The 26757-nt window shown below is 37.4% G+C and overlaps 1 protein-coding gene across 6 annotated transcripts in view; it reads right to left on the bottom strand.

Moving 5' to 3' along the window:
• DECR1 (2,4-dienoyl-CoA reductase 1) overlaps positions 4304-26757 on the bottom strand; it is a 52157-nt gene continuing 29703 nt past the window's right edge. For all 6 annotated transcript variants that reach the window (XM_047421410.1, NM_001330575.2, XM_011516880.4 and 3 more), the window contains 5 exons: positions 20997-21096; positions 15137-15209; positions 12942-13088; positions 6198-6260; positions 4304-6099 (listed from right to left, as the gene is read on the bottom strand). In XM_047421410.1, coding sequence (XP_047277366.1) covers positions 6040-6099; positions 6198-6260; positions 12942-13088; positions 15137-15209; positions 20997-21096 — 443 coding nt within the window. In that variant the 3' untranslated portion in view covers positions 4304-6039. The remainder of the gene's footprint in view (positions 6100-6197; positions 6261-12941; positions 13089-15136; positions 15210-20996; positions 21097-26757) is intronic.

The raw sequence follows: 26757 nt of genomic DNA, 5'->3' as shown, positions 1-26757 counted from the left end.
TTGGCATTCTTACAGTAACAGCATGAGCAAAGAAAGAAAAACAACAACAACAACAACAAATTATGATAGGGAAATTTCTGAAGAGACTTCCTAGAGGGCTGTCAGGAATAACTGACATGAATCTAGCATCAGGACTATCATGGTAGACTTTAATTCCTGAGCACTATCAGACAAAGAAATTCCTACACCTCAGCTACATCAGTCACACTTACCTATAAATGACAGGTCTGCTTCCTTGAGCAGAGAAGAGGGTGAAGAATGAAAAAAATGAATCTAGATAGGCAAATATAAAATTACAGGCACAATGCCTATCTCATACCACAAACAAAATTCATTCCAAGTTTATTATCAACATAAATGTGAAACATATGTAAACAACACAGGAGAATAACTTCAATACCTCATGCATGAAAATACTTCTTCACATCCAATTATGAAGAAACAAATTGAAAAATTGGGCTCCATTAAAATTAAGAATTTCTGTTCAGAAAATGACTACAAACTTTAAAAAAAAACTATTAAGAGAGTGAAAAGTCAAATTTCAGAGTGGGAGAAGATATTTGCAACACATATACTTGACAAAGGCACATATCCAAAATATATTAAGATTACTCCTAGAAACCAACATTTAAAAATATAACCCAATAGAAAAATGTATAAGAAAGTTGAGGCCGGGCGCGGTGGCTCACGCCTGTAATCCCAGCACTTTGGGAGGCCGAGGCGGGCGGATCACGAGGTCAGGAGATCGAGACCATCCCGGCTAAAACGGTGAAACCCCGTCTCTACTAAAAATACAAAAAAATTAGCCGGGCGTAGTGGCGGGCGCCTGTCGTCCCAGCTACTTGGGAGGCTGAGGCAGGAGAATGGCGTGAACCCGGGAGGCGGAGCTTGCAGTGAGCCGAGATCCCGCCACTGCACTCCAGCCTGGGCGACAGAGCGAGACTCCGTCTCAAAAAAAAAAAAAAAAAAAAAAAAAAAAAAAGAAAGTTGAACAAATATTTCACTAGAGGATACCCAAATGATGTCCAATAACATATGCAAATTAATCAACTTTATTAGTAATCAGGAGAAATGCAAATGGCCAGATGCAGTGGCTCATGCCTGTAATCCCAGCATTTTGAGAGGCTGAGGCAGGAGGATCACTTGAGCCCAGGAGTTTGAGACCAGCCTGGCAACATGGCGAAAGGCTGTCTCTACAAAAAGTTAGCTAGGCATGGTAGCATGCACCTGTAGTCCCAGCTACTAGGGAGGCTCAGGTGGGAGAATCACCCAAGCCCAGGAAGTCAAAGCTGTAGTGAATGGAGATCGTGTCACTGCACTCCAGCCTAAGCAACAGGAGTGAGACCCTCTCTCAAAAAAAAAAAAAAAAAAAAAAAGCAAATTAAAACAAATGAGATGCCACCACACACTCACAGAATGACTCAAAGTAAAGAGAATTTCAATGCTCACTACTGGTGAGGATGCAGCACAGTGTAAGTTCCCAAACAGCTTGGTGGGATGTTAAATTGTGAATAGTCTTGGAAGCCATTTGACAGTATCTACTAAATTTGAACACAAGCATACCCTAAAACCCAGCAATTTCACTTCTAGGTATTACCAATCTAACAGAGAAAGGTGTATATATTTTCGCCAAAAGAATAGAAGGTTCACGGCAGCTTTATGTTTGGCATAGCCTCAAACTAGAAACAATCCAAATGTCCACTAAGAGCAGAGCTAACAAATAAATGGTGGTATATTCATATATACCTTATATTCTATGGAATATAACAATGAGAATGCATAAGCAATTATTACACAGAAAGAAAGCCAAAAAACAGAAGAATACATATTGTGTGATTCTATTTATATAAATCTCAAAACAGCTTAACGATGGGGTTAGAAGTCAAGACAGTGGTTAGTTGTGAGAAGGAGGAAAGGAATCGCGATGGTGGGCAGAAGGGAGGCTTCTGGGTTCCTGGTAATGTTCTGTTTCTTGACCTGGAGAATGGTTACCTGAGTGCATTTGTATTGTAATAATTCATGATTTGTGCATTTTTAGAAGTCATACTTCAACTAACAAGCTAAAAAAATTGATGGGCTTTCTCCTCTTCTAGGCTTTTGTAATGTCTAACTGTTACCTCCTAAAAACCCTGTTATTGGCTCTTGATTTGAGTTATGATCCCAAGAAATATCTAACTGGGTGAGAGACATGAGCTTGACTTACTGTGTGACCTAGGGCAAGTCACATAACTTTCTAGGTCTGCAGTTTCCTCAACTGTAAAATAAAAACATTGAGAATTTGCATTTTCTAAGGCTTTTCTAGCTCTAAAATTCTATTATTCAAAGTCATTAAATTCTTATTGTTTTAGTTTCCACAAGAACAATAAGGAAACAATGGCTGTCACTCTATACCTGAAACATTTCCTGGAGGTGGTTTCACATGTTAATGGTAAGATGAGTGATATTGTTACCAATAATCTTTAATTTACTGAGTATTAACTCTTCCACTAGTACAATAGAAGCAGGACTCTTACAGAAGGTATTGAGTGACAAAGTAATAATTCTTAAGGTGAACATTGATGTGGTTACAGCCCACATGTGGTCTGTCATAGAATACAGTGATTACCCATAAACAATGTTTGTTTCTCTTTCAGACTCAGGAAAAAATATCTGTTAGTCAATATCTCCATGATCTCTCTTCTCTGATCCTCTCTGCCATGCTGCAAGCTTTGCTTTCTCATCAACCATTTGTAATAACACATAATAATGATGTAATAGATGACTAAGAAACTATTAAAAGAACTATTTTTGTCTTTAACAGAGGAAAAAATTGCATACAAACTCATACAAACCAAAAATTTTACAATACCCCATTAAGATACCAACAGGTAAAAAAGACAAACAGGAAATTCAAAAGTGTAGAAAAGTATTCAATCTCACTAATAATAAAATAAGTTTTTAACGGTACTATCATTCGTTACGTGTAAAATTGGTGAATAGTTTTAATTGTTGGCAGCTATTTGTTGAAACGGGCAGTGTCACACATTACTCAGGGGGGTTTAAACTCACACAAATCTTTGGAATAACAATTGGATATGTATATCAAAAAAACTTTAAAAGCTTCATAACTTTGATTAATAATACCACTTCTAGAAATGAGGAAAAAATTCCAAATTCTAAAAATGTGTTATACATAAAAACGTTCATAGTTTTATTTATAATACTGAAAAATAAAAGTAACCTGTGATCTCACTTATGTATGGCATCAAATAAAGTTGAACTCATGGAAGTAGAAAGTAGAATGATGATTGGCCGGGCACGGTGGCTCACGCCTGTAATCCCAGCACTTTGGGAGGCCTAGGCAGGCGGATCACCTGAGGTCAGGAGTTCGAGACCAGCCTGGCTAACATGGTGAAACCTTGTTTCTACTAAAACTACGAAAAATTAGCCGGGCATGGTGACGTGCACCTATAATCCCAGCTACTCAGGAGGCTGAGGCAGGAGAATCGCTTGAACCCGGGAGGTGGAGGCTGCGGTGAGCCAAGATCATGCCACTGCACTCCAGTTTGGGCAACAAGAGTGAGACACCATATCAAAAAAAAAAAAAAAAGAAAAGAAAAGAAAGTAGACCGATGGTTTACTAGAGGTTGAGGGAGTGGGAAGAAGGGGGTTTCTGATCAAAGCATACAAAATTTCAGATAGAAAGAACAGGTTTTAAGATCTACTGCAGGGTGACTATAGTCAATAATAATGTACTGTATATTTAAAAATAACTAATAAAAGTAAATTTCAAATGTCTCTCCATAAAGGCCAATAGGTAAGAGAGGTGATAGATATGTTAATTAGCTTGATTTAATCATTCCACATTGTATACACATATCAAAACATCACACTGTACCCCTTAAATGTACAGGGCACCCCATAAATGAATTCAATTATGATTTGCCAATCAAAAGTAATATTAATAATAATTTTAAAATGCATTGGCAAGGGAGGCATTAGCATTCTTGAAAAACATTAAAAAACAAAAAATTTTCAACAGCCAGGCTCAGTGGCTCATGCCTGTAACCCCAGCACTTTGGGAGGCCAACGCAGGAGGATCACTTGAGATCTGAAGTTCAAGACCAGACTGATAAAGATAGCAAGACATTGTCTCTATAAAAATTTAAAAAGATAAAAACAATAAATATAAATAACCCTATTCCCAATAAATTAAATAATGATACATCAAAACAATAGAACACTAAAAATAATATTTATCTAAAAAAGGACCTGATTTATCATGTAATCTGAATTTTTTTTTTAAAAAAGGTTGAGACAACACTGGAAAAAAATAATATTTATTAAGTTATATAAATGTAAACATTTAGTATAAATTTAACCAGAAAGAGAAATATGGCTATACTGGTGGAATCAGTGGAGGGAAAGAGTGTGTCTTTGTGTGTTTGGTGAGAGGTGGGTGGGAAGGTGGGTTTGGAAATGGAGTGAGTGATAAACCATCATTATTGGTGTGTGAACACAATATCAACACAATAGTGTGATAGTGAATAAGTCTCACGAGATCTGATGGTTTTATAAATGGGAGTTCCCCTGCACAAGCTCTCTTGGGTGCCACCACGTAAGACATGACTTTGCTCCTCACTCACCTTCTGCCATGATTGTGAGGCCTCCCTAGCCATGCTGAACTATGAGTCAATGAAACCTCTTTCTTTTATAAATTACCCAGTTTGGGTTATGTCTTTATTAGCAGCATGAGAACAGACTAATACACAGGATTAGTACTAAAGGTAAAATGGAGACTAGGTACCTGTCTGCGTTTTATTTTGAGAGTATTGTATTGCAAGCATGTGGAGAAAAAGTGCAACAGCCTAAAAAAAAGCCCAGTGAAAGTCAGTATAATTGGAAATGTTGGGCCACTTATTCCAAACCTATAACATCCCCTATATATACACAATTAAATGTAATAAATGTAATTTATGTACACAATTAACTGTCAATGTTAATTGGGGTTTCCATGGGCTTGTGGCAGATTTATTCAGATGAGGTAAGATGGAAGCTGGTTTCCTCTTGTGTCAACTTGGGCAATGGGGATAGTCAGTCTAGTGAACATGTTGTAACTGACTCCTGGGAAAGCAAAATGGACATTTTAAAAATATAGGCTCAAAAGTATAGCTCTGTAGACTTGAGACTTTGGATTCATTATTATTTGATTTTCAGGATGACAAATTAGTCAAACCAAAGATGAAATTTAATCAAATGATATACAAAAATATTTTATAGGCTTTCTTTACCTCTTTTACCCAGAGAAATCTATTCTTCTTTTACAGCTGGGATGGCATGCTATCTCTTAGGCATCACATTCTCCAAACTCTGGAGACAGAATGAATTACTTCCTCCTCTACACTTAAATACTGCTGGAATAATACTTATCACAATGTATCATAAATAATTATTTATAAGTTTGACTATCTTGCTAGATAATGAATTTAAAAAGGGCAACGGCTATAGCTTATTCAGTACTAAATAAAATGCCTGGCTACAAATAGGTCCTAGTAAAAATTAAAGGTTTGAGTTAATACTGAGTTACCCAAAGAAGATAATTCACAAGTCCAGTGAAAAGAAAGTATACTGGAAAGGCAAAGTCTATTATATTTAGTGTGTATCCTCTAATTTCTTTCTTTTAGGCCCTATTAATATAGGTATAGTATATTATGTAACTCAAATGCTACCGCCACCATTGAGTTTCTCCTGATTTTCCAAGTCACAAAGATCTGTTCTCTCTGCACTTCTAAGTACTTTTTACCTCTATCAATAGGTAAAGAGGAGCCTTTACCTACTCTCCCCATGCCTCCTTTTTTTTTTTTTAATGTTTTGAAGGACTATATTTCATTTTATTTATCTTTGAATATACAATGGCTATCACTGGCCTGGCACATAATACATATTCAATGAATGTTTGTTAATTAAGAATTTATTAGACTTGAAATAGTCAAAAGATGAGAGATAATTTGTTTCATTTCTATTCCCTTTTCTGTAACCAAGATGAAGGCCAAAGTGGTCTTAGGAACCTTTTGTCTTCCTGATGAGTTCTTCTATGGTGTCCCACTGCTCCTTGGTGACCTAACACAAAAAAGATGTCAATTTAATGTCCTTTTTACATGTTTTTAAAGCTTAGTATCCTAGCTGCTGATATTACATTATACACACAAAAGCATTACCTTTCTCAGGTCGTTGAATTCCCCTGAAATAAGTACTTCCTCTCCACCGTCAAATTTAATGACCTGGAAAAAACAAATTTTTAAACTCTGAAACTAACTCCTTTTAAAAAGTTTCTGAACCACTAGCCATTTTCCCATACTAATTGGATGGAATATCTCTTTGGCACTTTAAATCAAGCCCAAATTTTAAAGATAAAACTCATGATTAAACCTAAATTGATTTACTCAGTTTATAATTCTATTTCTAACATCTCCACAATTTCAAATATCTACCCAATATTGAAGATCATCTTAAAGGTATATCTACCAAGGTAACCTGCATCTATTAATTTATCACTTGATATGGTTTGGCTGTGTCCCCAAAAAAATCTTATCTTGAATTGTAATCCTCAATCTCTCTCTCTCTCGTCTCCCTTTTTTCTCTCTCTCCCTCTCTTTATCTCTATTGCCTGCCACCATGTTAAGTTATGACTCTTCCCCTTCAGCCATAATTGTAAGTTTCCTGAGCCCTCCTCAGACATGCAGAAGAGTGAATCAATTAAACCTCTTTTCTTTTTTTTTTTTTAATTATACTTGAAGTTCTAGGGTGAATGTGCACAATGTGCAGGTTTGTTACATATGTATACATGTGCCATGTTGGTGTGCTGCACGCATTAACTCGTCATTTACATTAGGTATATCTGCTAATACTATCCCTCCCCGCTCCTCCCACCCCACGACGGGCCCCCATGTGTGATGTTCACCACCCTGTGTCCAAGTGTTTTCATTGTTCAATTCCCACTTATGAGTGAGAACATGCGGTGTTTGGTTTTCTGTCTTTGTGAGAGTTTGCTCAGAATCATGGTTTCCAGCTTCATCCATGTCCCTACAAAGGACATGAACTCATCCTTTTTTATGTCTGCATAGTATTCCATGATGTATATGTGCCACATTTTCTTAATCCAGTCTATCATTGATAGACATCTGGGTTGGTTCCAAGTCTTTGCTATTGTGAATAGTAGTGCAATAAACATACGTGTGCATGTGTCTTTATAGCACCATGATTTATAATTCTTTCGGTATATACCCAGTAATGGGATGGCTGGGTCAAATGGTATTTCTAGTTCTAGACCCTTGAGGAATCACCACACTGTCTTCCACAATGGTTTAACTAGTTTACAGTCCCACCAACAGCGTAAAAGTGTTCCTATTTTTCCACATCCTCTCCAGCACCTGTTGTTTCCTGAATCTTTAATGAACACCATTCTAACTGGTGTGAGATGGTATCTCACTGTGGTTTTGATTTGCATTTCTCTGATGGCCAGTGATGATGAGCATTTTTTCATGTGTCTGTTGGCTGCATAAATATCTTCTTTTGAGAGGTGTCTGTTCATACACTTTGCCCACTTTGTGATGGGGTTGTTTGATTTTTTCTTGTAAATTTAAGTTCTTTGTAGATTCTGGATATTAGCCCTTTGTCAGATGGGTAGATTGTAAACATTTTCTCCCATTCTGTAGGTTGCCTGTTCACTCTGATGGTAGTTTCTTTTGCTGTGCAGAGGCTCTTTAGTTTAATTAGATCTCATTTGTCTATTTTGGCTTTTGTGGCCATTGCTTTTGGTGTTTTAGTCATGAAGTCCTTGTCCATGCCTATGTCCTGAATGGCATTGCCTAGGTTTTCTTCTAGGGTGTTTATAGTTTCAGGTCTAACATTTAAGTCTTTAATCCATCTTGAATTAATTTTTGTATAAGGAGTAAGGAAGGCATCCAGTTTCAGCTTTCTACATATGGCTAGCCAGTTTTCCCAGCACCATTTATTAAACAGGGAATCCTTTCCCCATTTCTTGTATTTGTCAGGCTTCTCAAAGATCAGATGGTTGTAGATGTGTGGTATTATTTCTGAGGGCTCTGTTCTGTTCCGTTGGTCTATATCTCTGTTTTGGTACCGTACCATGCTGTTTTGGTTACTGTAGCCTTGTAGTATAGTTTGAAGTCAGGTAGTGTGATGATGCCAGCTTTGTTCTTTTGGCTTAGGATTGTCTTGGCAATGTGGGCTCTTTTTTGGTTCCATATGAACTTTAAAAGTAGTTTTTTCCAATTCTGTGAAGAAAGTCATTGGTAGCTTGATGGGGATGGCACTGAATCTATAAATTACCTTGGGCAGTGTGGCCATTTTCACACATTGATTCTTCCTATCCATGAGCATGGAATGTTCTTCCATTTGTTTGTGTCCTCTTTAATTTTACTGAGCAGTGGTTTGTAGTTCTCCTTGAAGAGGTACTTCACATCCCTTGTAAGTTGGATTCCTAGGTATTTTATTCTCTTTGAAGCAATTGTGAATGGGAGTTCACTCATGATTTGGCTCTCTGCTTGTCTGTTATTGGTGTAAAAAATGCTTGTGATTTTTGCACATTGATTTTGTATCCTGAGACTTTGCTGAAGTTGCTTATCAGCTTAAGGAGGTTTTGGGCTGAGATGATGGGGTTTTCTAAATATACAATCATGTCATCTGCAAACAGGTACAATTTGACTTTCTCTTTTCCTAATTGAATACCCTTTATTTATTTCTCCTGCCTGACTGCCCTGACCAGAACTTCCAACACTATGTTGAATAGGAGTGGTGAGAGAGGGCATCCCTGTCTTGTGCCAGTTTTCAAAGGGAATGCTTCCAGATTTTGCCCCCTGGCTGTGGGTTTGTCATAAATAGCTCTTATTATTTTGAGGCATGTCCCATCAATACCTAGTTTACTGAGAGTTTTTAGCATGAAGGGCAGTTGAATTTTGTCGAAGGCCTTTTCTGCATCTATTGAGATAATCATGTGGTTTTTGTCTTTGGTTCTGTTTATATGATGGATTATGTTTATTGATTTGGGTATGTTGAACCAGCCTTGCATCCCAGGGATGAGGCCCACTTGATCGTGGTGGATAACCTTTTTGATGTGCTGCTGGATTTGGTTTGCCAGTATTTTACTGAAGTTTTTTGCATCAATGTTCATCAGGAATATTGGTCTAAAATTCTCTTTTTTTGTTGTTGTATCTCTGCCAGGCTTTCGTATCAGGATGATGCTGGCCTCATAAAATGAGTCAGGGAGGATTACCTCTTTTTCTATTGATTGGAATAGTTTCAGAAGGAATGGTACCAGCTCCTCTTTGTACCTCTGGTGGAATTTGGCTGTGAATCTGTCTGGTCCTGGACTTTTTTTGGTTAGTAGGCTTTTAATTATTGCCTCAATTTCAGAGTGTGTTATTGGTGTATTCAGGGATTCAACTTCTTCCAGGTTTAGTCTTGGGAGAGTGTATGTGTACAGGAATGTATCCATTTCTTCTAGATTTTCTAGTTTATCTGCATAGTGGTGTTTATAGTATTCTCTGATGGGAGTTTGTATCTCTGTGGGATAGGTGGTGATATCCCCTTTATCATTTTTTATTGCATCTATTTGATTCTTCACTCTTTTCTTCTTTATTAGTCTTGCTAGCGGTCTATCAATTTTTTTGGTCTTTTCAAAAAAAACAGCTCCTGGATTCATTGATTTTTTGAAGGGTTTTTTGTGTCTCTATCTCCTTCAGTTCTGCTCTGATCTTAGTACTTTCTTGCCTTCTGCTAGCTTTTGAATGTGTTTGCTCTTGCTTCTCTAGTTCTTTTAATTGTGATGTTAGGGTGCCCATTTTAGATCTTCCCTGCTTTCTCTTGTGGGCATTTAGTGCTATAAATTTCCCTCTACACACTGCTTTAAATGTGTCCCAGAGATTCTGGTATGTTGTGTCTTTGTTCTCATTGGCTTCAAAGAACATCTTTATTTCTGCCTTCATTTCGTTATGTACCCAGTAGTCATTCAGGAACAGGTTGTTCAGTTTCCATGTAGTTGAGCGGTTTTGAGTGAGTTTCTTAAACCTGAGTTGTCGTTTGATTGCACTGTGGTCTGAGAGACAGTTTGTTATAATTTCTGTTCTTTTACATTTGCTGAGGAGTGCTTTACTTCCACCTATGTGGTCAATTTTGGAATAAGTGAGATGTGGTGCTAAAAAGAATATATATTCTGTTGATTTGAGGTGGAGAGTTCTGTAGATGTCTATTAGGTCTGCTTGGTGCAGAGCTGAGTTCAATTCCTGGATATCCTTGTTAACTTTCTGTCTTGTTGTTCTGTCTAATATTGACAGTGGGGCGTTAAAGTCTCCCATTATTATTGTGTGGGAGTCTAAGTCTCTTTGTAGGTCTCTAAGGACTTGCTTTATGAATCTGGGTGCTCCTGTATTGGGTGCAAATATATTTAGGATAGTTAGCTCTTCTTGTTGAATTGATCCCTTTACCAATATGTAATGGCCTTCTTTCTCTCTTCTGATCTTTGTTGGTTTAAAGTCTGTTTTATCAGAGACTAGGATTGCAACCCCTGCTTTTTTTTTGTTTTCCATTTGCTTGGTAGGGTTTCCTCCATGCCTTTATTTTGAGCCTATGTGTGTCTCTGCATGTGAGATGGGTCTCCTAAATACAGCACACTGATGGGTCTTGACTCTTTATCCAATTTGCCAGTCTGTGTCTTTTAATTGGAGCATTTAGCCCATTTACATTTAAGGTTAATATTGTTATGTGTGAATTTGATCCTGTCATTATGATGTCAGCTGGTTATTTTGCTCGTTAGTTGATGCAGTTTTTTTGTAGCATTGATGGTCTCTACAATTTGGCCTGTTTTTGCAGTGGCTGGTACCGGTTGTTCCTTTCCATGTTTAGTGCTTCCTTCAGGAGTTCTTGTAAGGCAGGCCTGGTGGTGACAAAATCTCAGCATTTGCTTGTCTGTAAAGTATTTTATTTCTCCTTCACTTATGAAGCTTAGTTTGGCTGGATATGAAATTCTAGGTTAAAAATTATTTTCTTTAAGAATGTTGAATATTGGCCCCCACTTTCTTCTGACTTGTAGTTTCTGCTGAGAGATCCACTGTTAGTCTGATGGGCTTCCCTTTGTGGGTAACCTGACCTTTCTCTCTGTCTGCCCTTAGCATTTTTTCCTCATTTCAACTTTAGTCAATCTGACAATTATGTGTCTTGGAGTTGCTCTTCTCAGGGAGTATCTTTGTAGCCTTCTCTGTATTTCCTGAATTTGAATGTTGGCCTGCGTTGGTAGGTTGGGGAAATTCTCCTGGATAATATCCTGCAGCATGTTTTCCAACTTGGTTCCATTCTCCCTGTCACTTTCAGGTACAATCAGACGTAGATTTGGTCTTTTCACATAGTCCCATATTTCTTGGAGGCTTTGTTCATTTCTTTTTACTCTTTTTTCTCTAAACTTCTCTTCTCACTTCATTTCATTCATTTGATCTTCAATCACTGATACCCTTTCCTCCACTTGATCGAATCAGCTACTGAAGCTTGTTCATGCATCACGTATTTCTCATGTCATGGTTTTCAGCTCCATCAGGTCATTTAGGGTCTTCTCTATGCTGTTTATTCTAGTTAGCCATCATCTAATCTTTTATCAAGGTTTTTAGCTTTCTGGCGATGGGTTCCAACACCTTCCTTTAGCTCAGAGAAGTCTGTTATTACCAATCATCTGAAGCCTTCTTCTCTCAACTCGTCAAAGTCATTCTCCGTCCAGCTTTGTTCCGTTGCTGGCGAGGAGCTGCATTCCTTTGGAAGAGAAGAGGCGCTCTGAATTTCAGAATTTTCAGCTTTTCTGCTCTGGTTTCTCCCCATCTTTGTGGTTTTATCTGCCTTTGGTCTTTCGTGATGGTGACATACAAACGGGGTTTTGGTGTGGATGTCCTTTCTGTTTGTTAGTTTTCCTTCTAACAGTCAGGACCCTGAGCTGCAGGTCTGTTGGAGTTTGCTGGACGTCCACTGCAGACACTGTTTGCCTGGGTATCACCAGTGGAGGCTGCAGAACAGCAAATATTGTAGAATGGCAAATGTTGCTGCCTGATCCTTCCTCTGGAAGCTTCGTCTCAGAGGGGCACCTGGCTGTATGAGGTGTCAGTTGGCCCCTACTGGGAGGTGTCTCCCAGTTAGGCTACTCGGGGGTCAAGGGCCCAGTTGAGGGGCCAGTCTGTCCGTTCTCAGATCTCCAACTCCATGCTGGGAGAACCACTACTCTCTTCAAAGCTGTCAGACAGGGACATTTAAGTCTGCAGAAGTTTCTGCTGCCTTTTGTTCAGCTATGTCCTGCCCCTAGAGGTGGAGTCTATAGAGGCAGGAAGGCAGGCCTCCTTGAGCTGTGGTGGGCTCCACCCAGTTTGAGCTTCCAGGCTACTTTGTTTACCTACTCAAGCCCCAGCACTGGCGGACACCCCTCCCCCAGTCTCACTGCCACCCTGCAGTTCTATTTCAGACTGCTGTGCTAGCAGTTAGCGAGGCTCTGTGGGCATGGGACCCTCTGAGCCATGCGCGGGATATAATCTCCTGGTGTGCCGTTTGCTAAGACCATTGGAAAAGTGCAGTATTAGGGTGGGAGTGTCCTGATTTTCCAGGTACCATCTGTCAGGGCTTCCCTTGGCTAGGAAAGGGAATTCCCCAACCCCCTGCACTTCCCTTAAACCTCTTTTCTTTATAAATTACATAGTCTCAGGTATGTCTTTAGCAGTGTGAGAACAGACTAATACATCACTGAATAAATGTCATAGGCTAAACAATATATATAATATTTTATATTATTTACAACTAAATACATATTTTAAATGATATTTACATTCAGCATTGTCAGGATTGGTTCCACAACAGACCTCCCTGCCCCAAACACACTCCTGAAAAAAAAGTGAAGAGAAATAAACAACGCTTACTGCTCCATTAATCCAAGAAGCATAATCACTACAAAGGAAAGCAGCAAGATTTGCGAGTTCTTCTACAGTCCCCAGGCGACCACAGGGAATTCTGCCAATCATTTCTTTCTCAAATGTTCCAGTTGGGTCCAGACGGCTAAAGGCACCCTTAGAAATTAAGAAAACAATTAGGTTGTGTCGGGTTTTTCAATCAATTCCTTTCCTACTCAAGAAAAAATGTGTATAAAATGGCATGCTGCCATGCAGCTTAAAACCTTAGGCTTTGTAAGTAAAAAAGAATTTCACCAAATTATTCTTAAAAAAAAAATAGATCACTGGAAAATATAACCCTTTTAATCTTAGTTTCTTCTATGTAAAATGAGGATATCTATCTTAGTTACCTCACAAAATTGTTATAAGCATCAAATGAAAAAATGTATATAAAGGTATCCTGAAATATGTACAAGCTTAGGTGGTAAAGGCAGTGGTATTACTGGCTTTTCATTTAATAAACACAGAAAAGTGGCTCATAGGAAATATTTAAGAGGAAATTCCTTTTCTTTCATCCCAAAGTATTGGAAAAGGAAGAAAACAAGTAGGTAGAAATTCAATTAGATTCTAGAGAGAGAAAAACTACAACTAAATTGGCCAAACAATTTGCTTTCTGTCAATGATGTGAAGGAACAGACCAAGATGAATTATGGATGTGCACTGATTAATAAAAACAACTGGATTTTTCTGTACTAGTGCCTTGAAGTTTAGGTGGCAGTTTTCCTCAATAATGCAGCCATAAGACAGAACAAACACTCAGGGGACTCCATGACAGACCTCCAGTTCTTCCCAGGAGGTTATAAAGCCCAGAGACAAGGGGTTGCAACTGGTCCCAGTCCTGGTTCTAAAAAGTGCATGCTAGGGAGTTTCTACACTTCAGTTTTCTTTTAATCTCTTTAACAGTAAGTAGTTATTATTTGGGTACAACTCCTATCTCAGTGGCTAGACTGTAAACTCCTTAGTGGCAAGCACTTTCTCAGAGATACTTCTGTATCTTTCTCAGTACCCGTAGATACAGTGAACAGTCAATAAATATAGGTTAAATAAATAAAATGCAGGTGATTTTTCCCTAGATATTGGGGTCTTGGAGAGAAGCGTTTGTGTCTATAAGCCTATTTTCAGATATGCTTAGGACAGGGCCACCCTGAATCATGTGTTTTAATGTATGTTTTTAAGTTTCTTTCCACTAATTTTATTAGACTGTTTAGTATTGAATTGTCAGATAAATAAGATAGTCAACAAGTTTCAATCACTCAGGAAGTTTTTGTTTCTATTTCCCATCCTTTAAACTGCTAAATAAACTAATATGGCCATTTCCAAGTTATTTTTAATACCCAGAGCTACCTATAACCCAAAAGTCCTTTAGTATTATTTTCCAATATGTTTACACAACTGAAACAAGTTACCAAATTTTTCCTGGTCTTTCAACATTACATCTGGTTGGCATTATAAATACTTGCTTTAGGTGAAAACCAAGAGAAGTGTGAGTGAAGTTATTTTGGGATAATGAGAGAGCAGAGAAGGTGTGGATATTCTGAGCAACATCTGTAACAACATTAGAGATAATTACAAGTTGCAATGAGTATCCACAAGGATTATTACTTATAGGTGAAATCTATGCTGTCAGAAGGACTTATAATCAGAGACATGTGGGCGTTAGATGACATGCATAATTGACTGAGAGTGAAAGGGCACAAGCATGAGTCAAGGAAAATGCTACCTACCTATAACAAGACAAAGCCTATATAATAAGTTACCAAAGCATCTCTCAAACTAAAAATATAGTTACATTTCCTTGATTTTTTTTAAAAAAGGATGTCAGACAATGTAGGAGCCTTTAAAATGTCATGAAAGTTAACAAATACAGGACAATAACAGACCACTGAAACAAATCAGACAAAGTGCCAACATTGATGGTATAAAAGATCCCAAACGATTAAGACACTGAAATTGACATTATGAAGAAATTGCATAGCTGCTATATTCCTGCCCGCCTCCTTATTTCTTATATTCGATAATGAATAAAGGCAAAGGCCTCTTCCCTAGAACCAGGGCTCTAAACCTAGGCATCTCTGGAAAGTCCTTTACACAACAACCAGAATATACCTATCAGTGTTTCATTATTTAATCATTCACAATGTGATAACAAGCAAAATACAACTTACTTTGGTTTTTATAGGCCCTGGTTGAATCACATTGAATCGCATTCCATATTTACCCCATTCAGCTGCAAGAGACCTAAAAATTAAAATCAACAACATACATTCTGAAATATTATACCATATGTTAAAGACAGTAATAACTGAGACTCACTAGATGCTTACTACATGCCAGAGATTACAACCCCAACAGGTAGGTACTATTATTGTTCCCTATATTACAGATAATGTAACTAAGGCACAGAGAGGTTAAATCATTTTCTCTATGTCATATGGCCAATTTGTCAATCTCAAGAGGTCTAGCTTCAGTCTGTACCCTTAGTCACTCTACTGTACAACCTAACCTTTACATTTTAGTGTCCTTAACCACTATGCTACACCACCTACCATTTGTAGTTTAGAATATATACTTTTGTCCAATGTCAATACACATTTTTAGAGTAGGTATTCATTATTCACATAAAAACGTGAGTGCTTCATGCCCTTCCCTCACATTTTCTGGAGTTCAGTCTTGTAGTTACAAAGTTCATTATAACTTTACTCATAGCCCTGTACATTGGATTACAATGTCTGTAATATCACAAGTGCTTTATTTGAGTAAAAGAGTACATCGATTGAAAATATAAACCACATCCATGTCTAACTAGGCTTTAATATAATTGTTGAACCAAACTTGAAAGGAAATAGGAATCTAACAAAATCTTGCTTAATGTCCTGAAGAAAAATATAACACTAATAGCAAACAAAGAACTTCAAAGGAACTTGTTTTAAAAGCTTACTTTACAGGTAGCTCTTTTAAAATCTAAATTCATTTTAGGAATTTACATTCATATGTATATTTGTGTGTATATATACTTAATGTAATTTCAAATAATGACGAGGTAGCTTAAAAGAATTCATATAATGCAAATGAGGAAGACAGGATAATTTGAAAGGAAGAAGGAAAGAAAAAAAGCAAGATAAAGAGAGAGAAAAGCCAGGATAACGAAATATAACGGAGCCAAGAATGAGGCTAATATCTAAATGTACTGAAGTGTGTGATGTTCCATATAACTGCAATAGTCACATCACAAATTTGTATCTATTCTTCCCATGACTCTATACAAAAAAGGTAAGCCTAATCAGTTACACAATCCACAGTACCCATAAAGAAAAAGCAAGCTAATTGCTCAGGAAAAGCACAATTGTCTCTAATACGAAAAATGCTTTAAGTCTTTCTAGACTTACAAAAGGAAAATTGTACAGTATAACAATCTCCTTAAGACACTGTATCCTTGCAATAGATAAAATGGGCTAAGTTCAAACTTGACAAATGGGATCTAATTAAACTAAAGAACTTGTGCACAGCAAAAGAAACTATCATCAGAGTGCACAGGCAACCTACAGAATGGGAGAAAAGCTTTGCAATCTATCCATCTGATAAATGGCTAATATCCAGAATCTACAAAGAACTTAAAGAACTTAAACAAATTAAACTTAAACACAAACAACCCCATCAAAAAGTGGGGGAAGGATATGAACAGACGCTTCTCAAAAGAAGACATTTACGCAGCCAGCAAACTATGAAAAAAAAAGCTCATCATCACTGATCATTAGAGAAATGCAAATCAAAACCACGAGATACCATCTCATGCCAGTTAGAATGGCAATCATTAAAAAGTCAGGAAACAACAGATGCTGGAGAGGATGTGGAGAAATAGGAACACTTTTACACTGTTGGTGGGACTGTAAATTAGTTCAGCCATTGTGGGAGAGAGTGTGGTGATTCCTCAAGGATCTAGAACTAGAAATACCATTTGACCCAGCCATCCCATTACTGGGTATATACTCAAAGGATTATAAATAATTCTACTATAAAGACACATGCACACATATGTTTATTGCAGCACTGTTCTTAATAGCAAAGACTTAGAACCAACCCAAATGCCCATCAATGATAGACTGGATAAAGAAAATGTGGCACATATACACCATGGAATACTGTGCAGCCATAATAAAGGATGAGTTCATGTACTTTGCAGGGATGTGGATGAAGCTGGAAACTGTCATTCTCAGCAAACTAACACAGGAACAGAAAATCAAATACTGCATGTTCTTACTCATAAGTGGGAGCTGAACAATGAGAACACATGGACACAGGAAGGGGAACATCACACACTGGGTCTGTCAAGGGGTGGAGAGCTAGGGGAGGGATAGCATTAGGAAAAATTCCTAATGTAAATGACGGGTTGGTGGGTGCTGCAAACCACCATGGCACATGTATACCTATGTAACAAACCTGCACATTCTGCACATGTATCCCAGAACTTAAAGTATAATTTTAAAAATGCGCTAAGTTCTATGAAACTATCAGACATCCGTTAATAGTCTTATAGCATCATTTCAAAGGCCAATTCAGTAAAACCAGTTCTACAGAATAGGGTACACGTAATCTCAAGATAGCCTGTTAATCTGACTTAATCCATGAATGTATTTTAGAGAAATGGGTGGGCTGTATCTCTTTCAGACAGAACATACATAAAAATTGCTTCTCTGAGTGATGTTTTTGACAAAGTTCATTGCCATAGCTACCCTGGGCATTTATTTATAGTGTATCTACTCTAAATTGCTTCATGTCTTAATAGAATTACTGTACTGAGCAGAGTCTATATTATCCTATGAAAAACTGAGCAACCTGTTAAGAAAATCTGCCTAGAGGAAAAGCCATCCTCTCTGTGCTCAGAGGTGTGCCAGATACATTTGTTCAATTGCTAGCATGATCTTTCAACTGTCATTAAGCTAGCTGATATACTGAAGAACTACTGTAATCTGATAATGAATCCACCTCATACAGTTATCTCTGCATGTTAAGATGCTAAGAACAATATATGCAATATGTTAGCCATTATTATTGCTCATTCAACCAATGTTTATTATATACTTACCATGTGTCAATACTATAAATATTGCTTAGCCTCAAATAAAGTCAGTCCCTGCTCTCAAATGAGAGTCCCTCCCTCTCAAGAGAGGTGAGCCTGGTTATATAATGAATCAGTTACTAGGCTGGGAATTGTGTGATGTAAGCTATACCTGCTTAAAAGAAGAAGAACCTAAGTGGGAGTGACAAGGAAGGCTTCTCTGAAAAGGTAACATTCTGAGCTGATGGGTGAAGAAGGATTAGGAGTTTGCTGCAAGAGGCAGGGGAAAGGAGGAGCTGAGAGATTAAGAAGGTAGGATGGTGACATGGTTTGGCTCTGTGTCCCCACCCAAATCTCACTCTGAATTGTAATAATCCCCACATGTCAAGGGTGGGACCAGGTAGACATAACTGAATCCTGAAGACAGTTTTCCCCATGCTGTTCTCATGATAGTGAGTGAGTTCTCACAAGATCTGATAGTTTTATAAGGGGCTTACCCCTTCACTTGGAACACATTCTCTTTCCTGCTGCCCTGTGAAGAGGTGCCTTCCACCATGATTCTAAGTTTCCTGAGGCCTCCCTAGCCATGTGGAAACTGTGAGTCAATTAAACCTCTTTTCTTTATAAATTACCCAGTCTCAGGTATTTCTTCATAGCAGAGTGAGAACGGACTAATACAGATGGAGAAGGAAGACAGCCAAGGCATATGGGTCAGTATGAGTAAAGGACAAGGGCCCAAACAACATGTAGAATTTGGGAACCTATAATGCCTTATTTAGTAAGACTGTGTACTATAAAGTATGAGAAGAAGGTTGATGGGAACTCAAGCTGTAAAGGAAGGCACATGTTTAATGAGCATCTATTATATGCAGGAACACAATAAAAGCAGCACCAAATCAGTTCTTAAAGGACATGAGATAAAAAGCTCTAACAAGACTGAAGAGTCCTCACAAAACAAATATTGACATTGAACAAATGCTGCCAAAATAGTCAAGTTCTCATCCTTTATTTCCAACACTACCTGACCTTAAAAAATGGTAATTATCTCTTTTCAGACTAAGATTCAGCTTGTGAATAAATATTTCTTTCTATCTCAAACTAATGTGTATTTACTGACTTAAATATTAAAAATGCTCTGGGACTACTAAAAGAAGAGTACCATAATTCAGCTCAACAAGCATGAAGCACCAGCTACGGACCAGACTCTTCTGGTCCAAGTGGGGAAGTCAGATTGTTTAATGTTACGTTAATGGAGGAAATCCCATCTCTACTAAAAGTACAAAATTAGCCAGGTGTGGTGGCATATGCCTGTAATCTCAGCTCCTTGGAAGGCTGAGGCAGGAGAATCGCTTGAACCCAGGAGGCACAGGTTGCGGTGAGCCAAGATGGCACCATTGCACTCCAGCCTGGGCAACAAGAGCAAAACTCCGTCTCAAAAAAAAAAAAAAAAAAAAAGGCCCGCGATGCCCTGCTCTCTCTCTCTGCTACATTGGTATATTACCTTCATTTTAGAATCTATTTATTAGTGTTTGTCCTCTCACTAGATTGGATTAAACAAAGTTTTAAGGCACAGAGAGGAGGAAATGATTACAGAGAAAACATCTCAAAGGAAGTAAGCAAAACATCACAGCAAAATTCCAACAACAATATAACTCAGCCATAGACATATGAAAGCTGTATGGTAAGTTTAGGGAAACATGGAACAGTTCAATGGAAATTAAAGCATGGAAATAATAAATGGAATAGTAAAAAAATTTAAGCTCAGCTAACAACGAGGACTGTTCTATTTCCATCACTATCATATCCCTAGGACGAAGCATATATAAGGTACACAATAAATATTTATTGAATAAATAAATTAATTAACAATGGCCAGAGACAAGTCTGTTTAGAATGCCATAGTGAGTTCTGGCTTTTATTCCAAAGAGTGACAGGAAATGATCTAAGATTTTTAGCTGGGGAGTGTCGTGAGCAGACATATATGTTCTTAGAAAGATAATTCTGGTGAAAATGTGAATACAAAATACAGGGGGAAGAGACTGGTAGTAAAGAAATATACCATGATTATAGCAAGCCAGACAAGCAATGAAATGATGAGAAGCCCCATTATAATAAAGACAATGGAAAAGGCCAGTGGAGGACAAATTCAAAAAGCAATCATGGCTGGGTGTAGTGGCTCATGCCTGTAATCCCAGCACTTTGGGAGGCTGAGGCAGGAGGATTTCTTGAGGTCAGGAGTTCCAGACCAGCCTGGGCAACATAGCAAGACCTCATCTCTACAAAAAAATTTTAAAAATTAGCCAGGCGCTGTGGCACCTGCTTGTAGTCCCAGCTACTTGGGAGGCTAAGGTGGGAGGATCGCTTGAGTCTGGGAGATTAAGGCTGCAATAAGCTGTGATTGCACCACTGCAATCCAGCTTGGGCAACAGACTGAAGTCCTGTCTCAAAAAAAAAAAAAAAAGCAGTTATACTCTGCTGAGAAAAGGCCACTGGACTTGGGAAGTGCTCATAGTCTGTGTTAGTCCCATTAATCTTATACAGTATCTACAATAAAAGAATAAACGTGTGCTTATGAGAGGGGTTAGGGATGGCACTGATAAAGATCTATGGGAGAGCAAAAAAGCTATAGTCCTGTGGTGTCTAATATGTAGCCACTAGCCATATACAGCTACTAATTTTTAAAATTTAGTTTCTCAGTCACAGTGGGATATTCCAAGGGTTCAATATCTACATGTGGATACTGGATAGTGCATATTTACAGAACATTTACATCACTGCAGAAAGTTCCACAGGACAGCGCTGCTATAGACAAATAGGACTTATCTGGGAGATAAAATGTATGTCTCATGGTGAATCCAAGTCTTTGTTTACTTTTCTCTGGATGGACACCAGAAAGCAGGAATACAGTTCCCTGAGCCACCAACTGTATTAGTTATGTTCAGCAACAGGATTGACAAGGAAGTACTTACTTGCTCATGGCTTCCACACCTGCTTTGGCAGAAGCACTTGGTACTACAAAACCTGAACCAGTCTCAGCATAGATAGTAGTAATAGAAAGAAATGCTGCTCCTGAAATTTTAAAAGGATACAGTTGATTAGCAATATAGATGTATCACTACACATAAGGAAAACATTATTTATAAAAATGGGATCTGATTAAAGAGGGTATAAGAAAAACTAAAGTATTTTTTAAAACTTCACTCACTCTAAATTAATGAGAGAGTAACCTAAGAAAATTGATATGTCTTGCTACTAATCTTATGATTTAGGATGGCCCAATCTGCACTTACTTGGAATGTATGCCTGGCGAGTCAATACGAAAGCCCAAATCTCAGAGGCATGCCCCTATTGCACCTTGTATAATCAGCTGGTCAGGATTCCCATTAACTAAGTACTACTTGAATAAGAATAAATCAGAATTAAACTTAAACTAGCAGGGACTTCTGCCTCCAGCCATAATGAACTTACCCTTCTGCTGTAAACATCAAGAAAACTGAGTAAGACATATGCTACAATTATATACAGATACTGCACAGCAGGCAGGGAAGGACTATGACTCTGATAGAAGGAAAATGACTAAGCCCTGAGATACCCTAGCTTTTTGCCTAAAGATACTATATAGATGGAAGGATGAGGAGGAGGAATCTAAGCAGAAAATGGCATTCACACTGAGTTAAGAAGATAGAGATCGGTTTGGGGAGCCTGAGGAAACTAAGGTTTCTAAGAGTTCCTCCAAGGAGGAAAGTAGGCAGAGATATTAATAGAACTCCATAAAGCTGCATGGAGTCTCAAAGAGTCTTTAGACAAATAAGCTGTACATGTTTAGTGTGAGATTCCATTGAGGCCAGGCAAAGAACAACTACTAGGAAGCTGTAAGTGATGCAATTCCCAGAGCTTGCATAGGGCTGGGAGACATGGGAGTTCTAAGCAGCTTCACTGAACATCCAGAGCTTTCAGTAGAGAGCTCAGAAAAAAAAATGCCTTAGTAGGAGGGTTAAATTAGCCCCAAAGTAAGGACTACTATATACTTGCTGAAATAAAGCTTTAAAATGACCCTTAAAAATGATTAGGCTGATGCATAAGTAATTTAGAAGCTTTCCAAAATAAAAAAAACCACACACCTCAAAAGAAAATTAAAATACACACAGACACAAACACAGAACAACAACATAACATTCACAGCATGCAATAAAAAATTACTGCACATAAAAAGACACAGAAACCTAACAAGGAGAAAAATGATTAATAGACAAAGAGTCCCAGAAATGACAGAGAAGACAGATGTAGCAGACAAACAGCCTTTTAAATGCTATTACAAATATTTTAAAAGATTTCACTGAAAATATTTATATGATGAGAAAAATGGAAAATACAAAATAGAAACCAATATGGCTTCTACAGCAGAAAAATACAGCATCTGAAAGGAAAAATTGAACAAATAAGCTTAGCTGTAGAAGAAAAGATCCATGAATCTGAAGACACAGCAATATAAACTATCCAAAATGAAAGACAAATGGGAAAAAAAAAACTGAGGAAAAACCCAGAACCTCACTGACCTATGGAACAGTATCTAGCATTCTAACAAACGTATAGTTAGAGTCACAGAGGAAGAAAAAGCACTTGAATAAGGACTAAAAAAATTCCGAATTTGGTAAAAACTATAACTTACAATGCAGAAAGCTAAATGAATCCCAAGCAGGATAAACAGGGAAAAAAATCAATACATTATCATAATCAATAACTGAAAACCAATGATATATAGAATCCTAATTGCAGCCAAAGGTAAAAATAAGCAATAAAAATACACAAACACAGACAAAAATTTTCATTGTCTTCTCATTTCTAAAAATAATGTAAGCTAGAAGACAATGGAGTTATATTTTTAAGGTGTTGAAAGATAAAACTTAACTCTGAATTCCATATCCATCAAAAATACCCTTCAAAAATCAAGGTGATATGAAAATGATATTATAGAGAAACTGAGATTGTCAAAAGGAAAGAAATAGTAAATATGTAGGTAAATATAAAATATTTTTTCTTGTTTTCTAAATTTCTTTTTAAAATGATTGTATAAAAGCTATATTACAAAGTGATACTGCATATACAGTGGTCAATAGTGTCTAGGACACAGCAGGTTCTCAATAAATTAACTGAATAAGGCCAGGCACAGTGGCTCATGCCTGTAATCCCAGCACTTTGGGAGACCAAGGGGAGCAAATCACCTGAGGTCAGGAGTTCGAGACCAGCCTGGCCAACATAGTGAAATCCTGCCTGTACTAAAAATACAAAAATTAGCCAGGTGTGGTAGGGCATGCCTGTAATTCCAGCTACTCAGGAGGCTGAGGCAGGAGAATCACTTGAACCCAGGAGGCAGAGGATGCAGTGAGCCGAGATGATGCCAGTGCACTCCAGTCTGGGTGACAAGAGTGAGACTCCATCTCAAAAAATAAATAAATAAACAAACAAACAAATAAATAAATAAACAAATAAAGGCTTAAAAGGGTAATCTTTAGGTCCTGAGAAATCAGTGATTTCTCTACTTCTTATTTATTCATAACACGGGATAAGACAATACTTAATATTTGCAAAAGGATCAAAATAAGTTTACATCTTTTACATAACAGCAAATACTTTTAGAAATTTAAATTTGAAGGACTACAAGGAAAGTATTTTGAAGAATATTCAGATAAGTTTTTTCTCTGCTCCATATATTTAGTTTCTCTTTCTCTCAGCATGTTCCAGAGTAGAAAGAAAACTCAGCACATCCTGGGAAACACGGGGGTGGAAGAGGGGGCAGGAGTACCATTTTGAGGATAGGAAAAAATAAGAATGGTTATGTTAATCATTCTGGTAACTCCTTCTATATATCAAACAGCCTTTCAGATTGCTGAAAATTACTTTGCTTCCAAAATCGTACTCCATGAAAGAGGAGGGATGTAGAACATTAGTGGGCTCCATTACAGTACATTGACAACAGATGCTAACTGTATCATTCTTATAGCAAAATTACAAAAGAAAAAAAACTGCTTTAAAAGTGGCAAATACAAAGCAAATGCTCCAATGGAAAGTGCACTATCTTTCAACTAAGACTGAACAAATACATTTCTCCAAGTGTGGGAAAGGAGTTAAGCCATCCTACTACAATTTAGATGCTGAAATGAAAGTTATTTTACTATTCTTTTTATCCCTTTAAGGTTTTATTTTCTCAGCCTAGAAAATTTGGGTAGCCCACCTCTTAGAATAATATACTGCAGCTTTTAATTCTCATGAGTGTAAAAGGGAGATAAAGGTTTGAAACTGCACTGTTCCAATAGCATTAATGCTGCAAGGTGAAACAATTATCGGCTTCAAAAAAATGAACAGTGGTGCTAAAGTGCAAAGTAAAGAATTCCTAGATCCCCAGGGTTAGTCACATATATTTTCCTTCTTGTACAGAGGCCCATTATTTCAGTTAGAATAACTGCTCATGGAAAAGCTTTATAAAAGTCAAGTTTCTAACAGCTCAGAGCAGACAACAGAAATGAATCTATATTATTAATGAGGTTAAGAAAATAGAGAAGGGAAGCAATAAATGAAATAAATATTATGTTAGTCCATCCTTTGTTATTTTGAAATGGAAAAAAATAGTAATAAAAGAACATCAAAAATCATATTATCTATCAAAAAAGCTATGATATGTGCAAGATTATGATCTAATTTCAAAAGAAGATTCAAAAGTTCTAAAATCTGGTTTCAATACAAACTATGAATTGAAAGAATCACTAAACAAATTTAGTTCCAATGACCAACAGAAGGGGAATAGTATAGACACCTGGGCTCAGAAACTGATTCCACTATTTACTAGCTGTGTAGCTATGAGACTGGGGAAGTCGCATCCCTGCTCTGGACCCTAGATTTATCACCTGTAAAACAGGAACATAGGGCGTATCCAGCAAATGTCATTAGATTCTAAGGATTACTTGTTAATTTACTGCTGTTGTTGATTCCACCTATTACTCTTCCGCTCTCATGCAAAAAGACTGCCATTTACTAGCTGTGTATTAATAATTTGGCAAGTTGCGTTAGGAAACATCACCAGAATGGAAGGTAACTCCAACAGGCAACCCAGCCCCCTAGTTTCACAGACACATCCAAGAATTTGTTGAACGGCCGGTAGGTCAGGGCTGCTACACATGGTTGAGCAGTGCATAAGGGTGCCATATCTAAGGAAGCATGTTTTACATTACAGATATTACATGATTATTTACTTATTTCAAAATATTCTTGTTGTTCTGAGGGTTTCCTTTCTAACAAGATAAGAAATATATGTGGGCAGAATGGCCCCACTTAAAGATCCCATGCCCTAATTCCTAAGAACTGAATTTCTTATTTTACTTGGCAAAATAACTTTGAAGACATTAAGAAAGATTACAGGATTTAAGAGAGGGGCCTTTCTGGGATTATCCAAGTAACACAGTCTAATCACGTGAACTCTTAAAAACAGACAACTTTCTCTGGCTGTAGTCAGAAAGATGAATTTTAAGGAGCAGGCAAGAGAGATGTGGTAGAAGAGAAAGTCAGTCCCTAAGCATGAGAAAGACATATTGTGGTATTGCTGGCTCTGAGATGTACCAGTCCCTATGTAAGGATCAGAGAGAGGTCCCTAGGAGATAGGGTGGCCCTAAGCTGACAGTAACCATGAACATATACACTTCAGTCCTACAACCACAAGAAACTTGATTCTTCCAACGACCTAAATGAGCCTGGATACAGACTCTTTCTAGAGCCTCCAAGACATGAGCTCTGCTGGGTGACTCCCTGATATTAGCCTATAAGATCTGAAGCAGAGAAACCAGCCAAGCAACTCTGTGCATTTACTTGAAAAAAACAGAATTATAAAATTATAAGCATATGATATATTAAGCTGTTAAGTTTGTGGTCATTTGTGGTCCCCACAATGGGGGACTAGTATAGTGTATTATGTCAACTTTCCAACAAACAGAAATAAAGTATCTTAATTTTTTTTTAATCCTTGTTTAACTTTACCTATCACCGAAGGATAAAGACCACATTGCTTGGCCTCATCTCCTACCCCTCCAGGCATTATATGTCACATATAAGCAACACTGAACTCCTTGTATGCCTAAATACACAACTGAGCTGTTGGTTGCAGTTCTAACTCTTCTACTATTATTGCTAGCAATTAATCTTACTGACAATCATGGTAAGAAGACAAACTTCTCTGTCTTTTTGATGAGGGCACAGAGGATACCTGTCTCCGAGCCATTTTTCAATGAGAGCCCATATGAAAATCTAAAAATCCTTAATTCTCTAAAAGCTACTCAAAATAGGACTATAACATTTAAAAACTAGAATAACCCTACATAAATAATATTATCTACTAAGGAAACACTTTTCTCATTTAAACATTTAATATAAATATGTCCCTCATGTAGGCTGCTATTTTTAAGTTTAATTATAGTAAGAAGGGATATCAGGGCTCTGGTTTTTCTAACTAATTTTAATTATGAGTCAAAACCTAAGTTTCAGATAGTTGATAGTCCCCTTGTAAAAGACGTGGTAAAAATACATTTATCTTGGAGGAAACTTAACATTTTCTTTCATAACTAACATTTATTGAGTACTAGTCTGCCCCGGGAACTATTCTTAACACTTTATAGACACTAGCTCTTATAATCATTACAGCAATCCTAGGAGGAAGGCTTTATTATCAACATTATTTTACAGAAA

Source organism: Homo sapiens, chromosome 8 (assembly GCF_000001405.40).
Source record: "Homo sapiens chromosome 8, GRCh38.p14 Primary Assembly".
Classification (NCBI taxonomy): Eukaryota; Metazoa; Chordata; class Mammalia; order Primates; family Hominidae; genus Homo; species Homo sapiens.
This window is presented reverse-complemented; position numbering and strand designations above follow the sequence as displayed.